Below are 12,087 nucleotides of genomic sequence, written 5' to 3' on the forward strand. Positions count from 1 at the left end.
AATATAAGTGTTTCTGAGTTCCATGAGCCACTCTAGAAAATTAACTAAACTCAAAGAGGGGGTCATGGGAACCCCAACTTGAAGCCAGTTGGTCATAAGTTCCAGAGGACTGCACTTGTGACTGGTGTCTGAAGAGGAGGCAGTCTTGGGGACTGAGCCCTCAATGTGTGGAATCCGATGCTATCTTCAGGTAGGTAATGTGGAATTGAATTGAGCTGCAGAATTGACTGCTCACTCGGTGGTGAGCAGAAATCCCCACACATTTGGTCACAGAAGTCTTCTGTGTTGATTGTAGTGATTATTATAGAGTGACAGAATAGAAAAAGCAGTTTGCGTTTTGCTCATATTCAGAGGCAGAGTCATTAACAGGTATTCCCTATCATGCAGACAACTGTACTAGGGATGGTAAGATGATACGTAAAAGAAACACAAATGGAATCTGCTCTAAAGGAGCTTAGAGTCCATATACCCCCACTCTTTCTCACCACACACACACACAAAGAGAAGGAGAGAGGGAGGGAGTGATAGAGGGATAGAGGGAGGGAGGGAGAGGGAAAGGGAGAAGGGGAGAGAGAGAGGGAGGAATAGAACTAGAGAGTGTCTTGAATAGGGAAAGTTCTCAGCCTTGTTTTCAATCAGATCCTTCATTTGCAAATGAAGGATTCAAACTTCTTCAGTTCTGCTTGGTTGAAATAGTTGAGCCCTGACTGGGTGGTTTCAAGCTCCAAACTAGAAGAGTCTGCCGGATGTTTCTTTCAAACGGCTGGAAGCGGGGAATTCCAACCACACTTGGCACCACCAACAGCAACTGTTCCCTATTTAAGCCATTTTCTCTAACTCTTTTAACAAATAGAGTTAAAAGTAATGAAATTTAAAAAGTGTGCCTAAGCTCCTTGAGATACAAATCAAGTAAATTTATTGAAAGAGACAACATTTTGAAAGGCTTCGTGGAAGAGGTATGTCAAGGACCAACTATTTGCAGAAGAAGTAACAGCCATTTATTCAATGCTTAATATGTGCTGGGCCCTTTATATAAATTAGTTTTAGGCGGTCTTCATAATAATCCAGTGAGGTACAGAGTATTGTCAGCCCCATTTAAAGATAAAGAAGGACTTCTAATATGATGTTGAAAAAAAAAAAAAGAACAAAGATAAGAAAAGTGAGCGCAGAGAACCTAAGTAACTTAGCCACAATCCAACAACTGAGAAGTAGCAGATTCAACTAATCCCTGATGTTTTTTTAATCAAAGTCACGTCCCCAAGGGCCAGGTGAGCCTGCCTCTGGGAATCCTAAAAATGAGATTCCTGAAGATTACGTGGTAGACAACCCATGCGAAACAATGACAGCAGAGAAGAAAAAAGCAAGAAGACAGAGATTAGAAAGATGGTTAGAAACAGTAAGAAGATTAGATTGATTAGGATAAATGTTCATGAGCATAAGAATATACATATTTTAGATAGAGAGCAAAAGGAATTTTATTGATAAAGGGCTTGAATATTGCCAACACTTCTATATTTGACCCTAGAGTAGAATTAGCCATCAAATATTCCCTTGCCAGAAAATGACATGAAGAAAAACGATGCTATCCATCATCTACAGCACAGAATAGAATACGGGCAAATCATAACCAGGAGGACTGTTAAAGTATGCCCCTGGCCAACAGACAGAATGGACTCCTGTGGCTGAGGTGCTCAAAGGTAAAACAGAACTAGGCAGTCACGGCAGGGTGAGGGAGTGGTCATGCATGCTGTGTTCTCAGAAAGATGTAAAGGTGTCAAAGGATGCTTCCTACGATCAAGCCAAACCAGCTGCTGTTGGTGGTGCCAAGATAAACTGTGGTTGGAAATCTCCACTCCTAGCTGTTTGAAAGAAACATCTGATGGAAACTTCTGGTTCGGAGCTTGGAAACCACTCAGTCAGAGCTCAACTATTTCAACCAATCAGAAAGGAAGAAGTTTGAATCCTTCATTTGCAAACAAAGGATCTGATTGAAAACAAGGCTGAGAACTTTCCCTATTTAGGCCAGACCCTCCCTTTGTTCTTTGAAGAGCCCACTTTCACTTACAGCAAAGGCTGAGTTTCTCCAATCTGCAGATTGTTTTTTATAGAAAATAAAACTCTGTTTTGCCTCTGCAGATCTCATATCCTTTTGTTAACACTCTTATAATAGCCCTGGGTAAAGAATGAAGGAAGAAGGATGCTGGCTACAGAAATTGTGATACAGAAATCTGAGGACACCACTGCAGAAAAGTAATTGGACGATCTGTGTAATAGATTAAGCATCAAAAGCAAAGGAGAGAAAAGCATTAAAGATGACTCCGGAGTGAAAAAGTGGGCACGGCAAATGAAGAAGGAAATGTTTATTAAGGACCTTTAATGTGTCTCTTTCCTATTTCACTTAATCCTCACATGGGCTGTGGGGTAGTGATTATCACAGCCATTCTGGAGACAGTGAAGGAAGATCCAGCAGTTCAGATATCTCATCTGAAGTCTCACATCTGTTTGGCAATAATCACCTCATGTCCACAGATTTTCCATTATCATGGTTTCCATTATACCACAACTGAAAATGACAGCCTGGCATAGATGGACGCACATTGTACAGAAGAAATCATCAGTTCCACAAATACCTTCAGCATCTCTTGTCATCCCCATGCTAATTGCTATTTGAGATACAAATTCCTTAATGGAATTTACAAGAGCACATAACAAGAACAGTGAAAGAACAAGCGCAATCACATTTCCCCAAAGCTGGAGTAATCAAAGAAGACTTCAAAGAAAACATATAAGGACAGTTCAATCAGACCCTTGTAAAGGGCTAGGATTTCAATCAGGGGAAAGAAGGAAAAGTCTCTAAGAGGAAGAAGGAGAGCAAATGTCCTGATGAACAAGGCATAGCAGAAATGAGAGGTCAATTACTAAAACAATTTGTGCCAGAAGGTTCTCACTAGGAAAGAACAAGAAATAAATATATATATTTTTAAAAAATCACATGGTGATCAGGATGCAAAGGGCCCTACTAATAACAGCTGGCATTCATTGAGCACTTACTATGTGCTGTGCACAGTTCTGAGTGGTGTACATTTTTCAGTTAGTCCTCATAATAACTTTCTAAAATATAATTATTGTCACCATCGTACAGATTGAGAAACTGACACCTGAGAAATTAACTAACTTGTCCGTAGTTGCACAGCTAGTAAAGAATATGGCAAAGAGTTAAGCCTAGGGAATCTAGGACCAGATTCCCCCATATTAATCATTATACATACTCCTTCAGAAGCACTGTGAAGATCTAGCACATAGGTACCTGAGGCAAGACTTGAGCCAGGCCACCAGTGTGGTGGTGAGCAGTCCCAGCAGGGGAGGGGCAGGGCAACAGGCTGGTTTGAATGTAGGCAGAATCAAGGTAATGCTGACATGGTGGTGAAGAGGCCCAGGAAAGGATACCAAGAGACTGTGATAGCAATAAGGGCATTCTGATAACTAGAGCAATCCCAGGAGTATGCCAATAAGGAGACTTTTGGAGTCCCTGGGAGGCAGTGAATGTGTTTTTGCTTATGGGAAAGAAGTGACTCATTGGGACCCAGGCAGCAGACTGTGGTAGGCAGCTTTCTCAGTGGCTGCTCCCAATGATTCTAATAATCACAGCTTCCTGCTATTCACAGCCTTGTGTAATCTGCTCTCCTTGATTGTTGAAGAAAAGCCAGGAAGGTGAAGCTAACAAGTATTCTCTTTATTTTACAGGCAATAAAGTCCTACGAAGATTGAGTGACATGAGGACAACACCTAGGAGCAGGTCATGACATGTATTTGACTCATAATAAATGCCATTTGAGGGAATATATAAATGAGTATATTTTGAAAGATAGAAAATGGAAAGACCAAAAGGAGAAAATGGCATGTTAGCAGAAAATCCATATCATTTTTTTCAATTAATACAGGAAAGCGTATTATTTGCTTTCAAGAGCTAATATAAAATACATAGTTCAGGGGTCTGTATTACCTGCTGTGCTAGGAAAAATCACACTCCCATGAGACTAGATTCCTCTATCAAAGAAAGCACTAGAAGGAAGGAAGGTGCATAGCTTCATGCCACATATTCAAATAGATCTAGAGAAAGAACAAGATTCTGATACAGCTGGACAAAGTCACTGAAGTCAGTTCCTGGGAAACCAGCTTTGGAGACTGAATTTTCTATTTATATTTCTAAATAATAACTTAGTTATTGAGTGAGAAACATAAATCCACAGGTAGATTTTCTTTTTTAAAACTTTTAAGTATAAAACATAGTAAATGCTTACTTCTAGTTGGAAGATGTGTCAAAATACTGACATGAAGTCAAAATAATGACAGCTAAACCAAGGCTGTAGCTATAAGATCATGACAAAACTGAGATGCATGAAATACTTTTGGTACGAAAGTGCAAGCAGTAGAACTAACATTTTCTGGTTCTCATTGTATGACAAATCCTTCTAGACAAATTGTAAATAACATAGAAATAATATGGAAATACAATTCTGTTTTAAGTGCATTTCTCTAGACAGAGACAACCTGACATTTGGGATGATGAGGTGGTTGTTGAGGGATGTAAGTGCAAGGGGCAATTCCCAGAAAGGTCTGCCACCTGACCCTCGAGAAACAAATAAAATCCATTCACAGAGAAAGTATATTTTATTCTGTCCTAGGAGATAATGCTAAGTCATCAGGGCAGGATAACAAAGTAGTTCCACTCTCATTGTGGTCCATAGTAAATAAATGATGTTGGATTTCTTCCAAACTAGTGATTTTGGCAAGGAAGAGAAAAAAGGAGACCATAATTCTGAAGGAAACAAAAGTCCCTTAAGAGAAACTTTGCTCTCTACATGAAAAAGAGAAAGACTGAAAAATTCCAGCTCAGGGACTTCCTGTTTTTCATAACAGAACATGGTAAAAGGTGATATGGTCTATAGCTATACTTGAGAAAAGGAAAATATGGCTTTTAAAGTTGAAACAGCAACATCCTAAAAGGTCATGAAATGGAGATAAACTCCTTTTCTCTGTAAAATCACAGTCTTCATATTCCAGTCTAGGAGAGTTCACATGATCTAAATTTGAATAAGAAAAGAGGAAAATTTCAAGAATAAGCAAAATGATAAAATTTATATTTTATAATTTATCTTTTATATTTCGAGACTAGGCAAAGATTATTGTCAGTTTTTTTTTTAGCAGTGTATAGAGAGGAGGTGATTTTTCTTCCCTTTGACTTACAATATATATCACATATAGGATGTCATATAAGGAAATGAGAAGACTCTCAGGTATAACATCTTTGTCTTTGTGTCTAAATCTCTGTTATATAGCCCTTCTCTTTTATTTTTATTTTTCTCACTCTCAACCTTGTTTTTGTTTCATTTATCTCTCTTTCCTCCCTCGCCTTATAATACAGACATATTTTTATCCTTGATTTTTAAAAAGTTATCTGGAGACCTCCGAGTAACATTTCTCACTCCAGAAATTCCACTAAAATGATAACAAAAACCTTTTTAAAAAAAAAGCATACTCCCAAGAAGGTGAATGGTATTAAAGGCTTGGAATTTGGAAAACAGGTGGTCAATGACTCCTAATTACTCAATACTAAACTTCAAGTAAGGAAGTCAAAACCTACCTAATTTAAATGACAGGATTCCCAAAAGACCCAGGAATTGATAATACCAAGTGCCACACACAGAGAAAGGCAAATTAAAGGAAACAGCTAACGCAAGGAATTTCAGACCATTTTACATACTCCCGGAAAAATAAAATAAAGGAGCACTATAAAGGATCAAGAATCAGAACAGCTGTACATTTCTCAAGAAATATAAAAACTACACTAAAAACTGAAATACATTAAGATTATTAAGCCAATAAACCCTAACTATGAAAAAGTAGTAACAACAGATAGATCACACAAAATGAAGCAACAAGATATGAGGCCACTCAACTCAAAAATGCTATGCCACATAGAAAGTAAAAGGAAGGACACAAACCGTAGCCTGTTACCAGATGTGAGTGCCACATGGTTCATTATTTCAAACTCAGCTTTCAGCAATGGGAGTTAAAGAGTCAGAGAGTTACCTGTCTGTAATTTAAAGCATCCAGATAGACTGAGTCTTGGGCAAAAACAACAGATTTGCATGGCATGTGGATCCCTAAGGCAAGTGTTTCAGTAGCTGTCACTACCTAGGAAAAAAAAAAAAAAACAGTCAATACACAATATAGCATATCTATAAGGACACAAGATCTATTTTCCACTCCAGTCACTGAACAACTCTTAGAGCTTTAACAAACCACATGTCATTAAAACTAACATACTAACCCTACTGTTCTTGCAACTGCCTGATTATTCAAAGAACATTGCTACTTCAGCATCCTAACTGTTGCCATTTGCTCACCCTAAAATCATTTTCCCCAAATCTCCATTTGCAGGCTTTTTCTGATCTCTATATAAATGTCCAAAAAGACTTCCTGCACCATCGTTTCTAAAATAACCATGTTTACTTGTCCCCCCAAGACCTTAAGTATCATGAGGACATGGGCATTGATCTCTCTTGGCCACTGCTGTATCCTCAACACCTGGAAGAGTATTGGACACACAGCAGATGCACAATAAATATGTGTCCAATAACTGCATGAATGAATGAACAACAAGCATACAAATTTTCCTTAAGATAGGGTAATAATGTTTTGTCTTACGTACTCTGGACAACCACCTTCTCTTATTCTCATGTTTGTTTATGGAGGTTTTATCCAAACAGCTAACTGATCTAATTAATTGAAGGATAATAAAGTTACATTTTCCTTCTTATTTACTCTCTTAATATCAGTTATGTGCCCAATCACCTATGTAATGCTAGGTGCATATAGCTGCTCTCTCTTCCTGTCAAATACACTAATATTAACCTGTGCCATAATTATTTCAATTATTTAATGATAAAGAGTGAGCAAAAAGACTTTCTAATTGATATTTATAAACCCATCCAAATTCAACCCATTATTGGTTCATCTGTAAAAGTTCATCAATAAAAATGAAAGGCTCAAATCACCAAACTTTAGAATTTAGCCATAATGAGTATCATTTAGAAAAAAAAAAGTGTTCTGGCCAAGTGTAGTGGCTCACGCCTGTAACTTCAGCACTTTGGGAGGCCAAGGCAGGCCGATCACCTGAGGTGAGGAGTTCGAGACCAGCCTGACCAACATGGAGAAACCCTGCCTCTATTAAAAATACAAAATTAGCCAGGCATGGTGGCACATGCCTGTAATCCCAACTACTCAGGAGGCAGAGGCAGAATTGCTTGAACCCTGGAGACGGACGTTGCAGCGAGCCGAGATTAAACCATTGCACTCCAGCCTGGGCAACAAGAGTGAAACTCTGTCTCAAAAAAAAAAAAAAAAAAAAGTGTTCCGTGTAGCAAGCTCCCACAGTCTCAGAATAACACTTTTATAACAATATGGCTATTCATTCATTTATATATTCATTCATTTACTCACTCATTAACTTTTATTGAGCCACTACTATGTGACAAGGTCTACAACACTGACTGTGATGAACAAAATTGGAGTGACCTTTGCCCATAATTAATAACCTTTATGAAAACTTTTCTGGTTATTTGTCCTTTAAAATGACAAATAAATGATACAGATATGAAAACTGAGCAGAGTTGTTCACAATATTTTATTTTTATAAACAGCAAGAAACAACTTTTATTTATGATATCTAATACTCCTCACTCTTCTTAAGATTACAAAAATGGCTGGGCATGGTGGCTCACGCCTGTAATACCAGCATTTCGGGAGGCTGAGGTGGGCTGATTACCTGAGGTCAGGAGTTTGAGACCAGCGTGGCCAACATGGTGAAACCCTGTCTCTACTAAAAATACAAAAATTAGCTGGGTGTGGTGGTGCATGCCTGTAATCCCAGCTACTGAAGAGAATGAGGCAGGAGAATGGCTTGAACCCAGGAGGCGGAGGTTGCAGTGAGCCGAGATTATGCCACTGCACTCCAGCCTGGGGGACAGAGCAAGACACCGTCTCACAAAAAAAAGATTACAAAATAAATACCCTGAATAGTGTAACGGCTACCCTTCTACACAACTCTTCACACACTGTCCCCACCTAGAAATAGAATATTGCAAGCTTCTGAAACATACTAACAAAAAGTTAACATAAAGCATTTAACTATGAGCCATCTAAGATGTCCTTACCCTCTTCCAAGTTCATTTGGAGGTATCACATCTATCAGCTCTGTCTAAAACATGTTAGTCTAGTGCAAGTTTTTTCCAATTCTTAAAAAAGAAATGTCTTTCTCTTAGCTGAGGTATGACATTAGAAAATAGTCTGACCAAATGTATAGTCATTTATACTAAATGTATAAATATCCTTATGAGCTGTCTAGGACAAAATTGTAAGAACTGTGTCCTAGATACTAAGTGTTAAAGAGTAAAGGGTTATGACCAGGCACAGTGGCTCACGCCTGTAATCCCAGCACTTTGGGAGCCCCAGGTGGGTGGATCATGAGGTCAGGAGTTCGAGAACAGGCTGGCCCGTATGGTGAAACCCTGTCTGTAATAAAATACAAAAAAAATTAACTGAGCATGATGGTGCGCGCTTGTAATCCCAGCTACACGGGACGGCTAAAGTAGGAAAATTGATTGACGCTGGGAGGTGGAGGTTGCAGTAAGCCAAGATCGCGCCACTGCACTCCAGCCTGGAAAACAGAGCGAGACTCGATCTAATAAAAATTAAAAAAAAAAAAAGAGTAAAGTGTTACACCTGGATTACCACAGCTATACTACTCCATTATAAATATTATTTTTCAACGTAGAAATAATTTTTAAACTCCTCTAATAAATGGGATAGATGGAGCAGTCCAGTCCAGTGAGTTGTAATAAAAAGACACTGGTTAGATGAGAAAACCAACTGGTATAATTTTTTACCTTTTAGTGGTATTCAGCATCATAATATGCACAACTTTATTTTTTAAATGCAAAGAAATTTACCTACCCTAATAAGCCCTTTTACAAAGAGTATCTCAACAAACTCTTTTTCTTTAAAATACATGCTGCTGTGATGATATCCAATCCCCCTTTGTGCTAAAGCCTTCAGTTCTTTGCCGTGTCTTGTAAATCGCACTCGCGGTAATACCCTCTCCAAAGTCTAAAACAAGAAAGAAGTGTAAAACAATTGATGATGTATTTTATTTAATTTCAAGCTCAATCAGAATCAAAGGACATTTTCACAAGCAAATCACTTACATCTTGCACACAGTGAGGCTGCCCTTTGACCCTGAACCTACATGTTTTATGACTACGGAAACAATCTGCCCATTTTTGTGAACAGACTCTCTCAGAAAAGAGGCATTCATAAACCAAAGGGGAAGATGCTATTGAAGCAGCAGATCAAATGCCCAGGACAGATGAGTAAACAATCTTCTGCTGCCTGAGAGAGACAGACTACTTCTCTACTGGAACCTTAGGAGTCCTTTTCAAGCAAAGAGAGAGAGACTTCTCCAAGAAGGCAGAGCGAGATCTCTACTCTAGATGATCAGACAATTCTTACTTCTCACTGAACCACTCACAAGTCATATCCAACCCCTTAAAAATGTCCATACCCTCATAGCCTCACTTCTAAGAATTTATCCTCAGGAGGAAATCCAGCAGTTGGCAAAGATGTCAAAGGTAAAAATGTATTAAGAGAACAAGAAAAAACAATAAAAATAGCCTATGCAGCCTAGAGTAAGACAACTGGTTACATAAATTATAATCATCCACATAAATATATACTATGAAGCTATTAAAATAATAATGTAGCTCTATTGTTGTTGGCAAGAAATAAATAAGTAAGGGAGGAAAGGAGATTACAGACCAATTTGTATATAATATGGCCTTATTTTATTAACGAATAAATACATGAAATGTCTATGTGACTGTGGACATGCTTGTGACTACAGGCAATAGAATAAAAGATCTGATAGAACAGTGAGTCTCTCTGAGCTGTGACATTATTTTTATTTTCTATTTTCAAGTACTTCTGCAATGGACATAAATTACTTGCATAATAAAAAATGTTTAAATGCCATACCATCCTTGGATATTTCAATATCTGTTTAAAGAAATGTTTTGAATGTTATATAGGTCTCTGAAATTGAAACTTTCAGTTGACATTATTTAAAATATATTGTGTCATAAAACCCAAACGTGACCAGAATTAAAATATATCATATTGAATTGAATTCTAGAATCAGGCTATAAACTAATCCAGGATAATAGAGTGAAATAAAATAAGAGGCTGACATTCACACTGAGCAAGGAAGAGTCACTTATAGAACTTTAGCACATTAAATTGGGATAATCATTGCAAAACAAACAAAATCACACACAGAGATAATCATATTTCAAAGGTATTACACAAGTCATTTCAGTGTTCAAAGATATTAAACGATCACTATGATAAAATGTCACAACTGTAACGTATTATATTAATAATTCTCTGACGTACTGAGTCTTTATTCCTGGTAATTTCAGTGTGTAGGGCTTTGACATCAGCATACGTGCAGTCCTCAGAAATTTCCAGAATCTTCAGATTCTCCAGGAAATTAATATATTCAGCTCTATACACTTTTTTTCTTTCCAGTTTTTCAGCCTTCTTTGGGTTTTTTTTAGTGCTACTATTTAAAAAAAAAAAAAAACTTTTAAGTAATGAAAACTCATATTCAGTTACTGCAAGAAGCCTAAGGCCCCACAGATTTCCCTTGGTCATCCGACGTTGACAGTAGCTCCATCAATCCTGACTTGGTCTCCCCTTCCTCACGTGCACTTCCACCATTTCATCTAGAAGTCAGGTCCCCTCATCAGCAAAATCCTCTATATTTTCTTCATTTTCTCTGCATAATTTCTCCTCCTTCACACTGTAACAGATATCCAGTTCTTCTCAGGAAAATTTCTGCTACTGAATCTCTTTTGAGCAGTGGCCAGAGCACAGTGGAAAAGCAAAGGGGGCGGGGTGTGTGGCACAGTCTAGAATTAGTTGGCACATCCCCTGATCCCAGTAACTCTGGTCTTATGAAGAGGGTTCCAGAAAGAAAAGGGTAATTTAAATATCCATGCTGACAGCAGAGACCCTTCCTGACTAGGCCTAAGAGAAAAATTGATTATACCATTAAATACTCTTTATTTTCATGGCCCATATCATTCATTACACATCCAACTTGAAATGTAGTTCCTAGTCCTGAAAAAAGACTGACTGAAGAGAATCAGTCACCGAGAAGACCTGGAGCTCCGACATCTCTCTCCCAGGTATTTTTCCCTTCCCCTACGTCCAAAAAATATACACAACAAGCAGAAAGAAGATCAAAGCAGTGGTGGAAACAATAGAGAGCTTGCCCTAGTCTTTAGGCAACGTCTGAATTAGAAGGGCTACGGAAGTTGTTTCAATATTGTTACAGACTGAATGTTTGTGCCCCCTCAAAACAAATTCATATGTTGAAATCCTAAACTCCATTTGTGATATCAGAAGGTGGGGTCTTTAGGAGGTGATTAAGTCACGAAGACAGAGTTTTCATGAATGGGATTGGCGACCTTATAAAAGAGGCTCCAGAGACATCCCTCGCCCCTTCCACCAAGTAAGGACACAGAGAAGACAGCTCTCTATGAACCAGGAAGCAGCTCTGTCAACATCCTGATCTTGGACTTCCTAACCTCCAGAACTGTGAGAAATAAGTTTCTGTTTAGAAGCCACTTAGTCTATGGTAACTTGTTATGGACTAAGACAAATGTTGAGGGAAGGTTTAATTAGTCTTTCAAAAGTATTTATGAAGCACTATTACTATGTGCCAGGCAATATGCTATTACTGAGGGACTCAAAGAAGAATATGCACAGTTCTGGTAAGGGAACTCCCAATCTAAAGAAAATAAAGATATGGAAACAACTGCAATGCAGTGTTATAATTAATCCAAATGCTTTAATGATTCAAAGTGGAATGAGAACAAAAGACAAAGGGTAATAGATCTATCTGAGGCAATCATTATAAACTTCAGAGAGAAGACAGATTTTAAACAAAAGATGTGGGGGAAA

The 12,087-nt window shown here is 38.1% G+C and overlaps 1 protein-coding gene across 22 annotated transcripts in view, besides 1 other annotated feature; it reads right to left on the minus strand.

Moving 5' to 3' along the window:
• DDX60L (DExD/H-box 60 like) overlaps positions 1-12,087 on the minus strand; it is a 123,758-nt gene that overhangs the window by 28,712 nt on the left and 82,959 nt on the right. For 15 of the 22 annotated variants that reach the window (XM_005263341.5, XM_011532403.3, XM_047416395.1 and 12 more), the window contains 3 exons: positions 10,513-10,681; positions 9,019-9,171; positions 6,094-6,198 (listed from right to left, as the gene is read on the minus strand). In XM_005263341.5, coding sequence (XP_005263398.2) covers positions 6,094-6,198; positions 9,019-9,171; positions 10,513-10,681 — 427 coding nt within the window. Of the gene's footprint in view, positions 1-4,652; positions 5,085-6,093; positions 6,199-9,018; positions 9,172-10,512; positions 10,682-12,087 lie in introns of those variants that run through there. The other 7 variants (XM_047416399.1, XM_011532405.2, NM_001012967.3 and 4 more) reach the window with 4 other exon arrangements.
• Positions 8,851-9,020: an enhancer, noted in NCBI's record as "experimental_76114 CRE fragment used in MPRA reporter constructs". NCBI's record gives its function as "activates a minimal promoter by MPRAs in K562 erythroleukemia cells, with activity observed for the non-introgressed 4:169315533 variant allele {active_cell/tissue: K562}" and the evidence as "EXISTENCE:reporter gene assay evidence [ECO:0000049][PMID:34662402]".

The sequence above is a fragment of the Homo sapiens genome, chromosome 4 (assembly GCF_000001405.40).
Source record: "Homo sapiens chromosome 4, GRCh38.p14 Primary Assembly".
NCBI classification, from domain to species: Eukaryota; Metazoa; Chordata; class Mammalia; order Primates; family Hominidae; genus Homo; species Homo sapiens.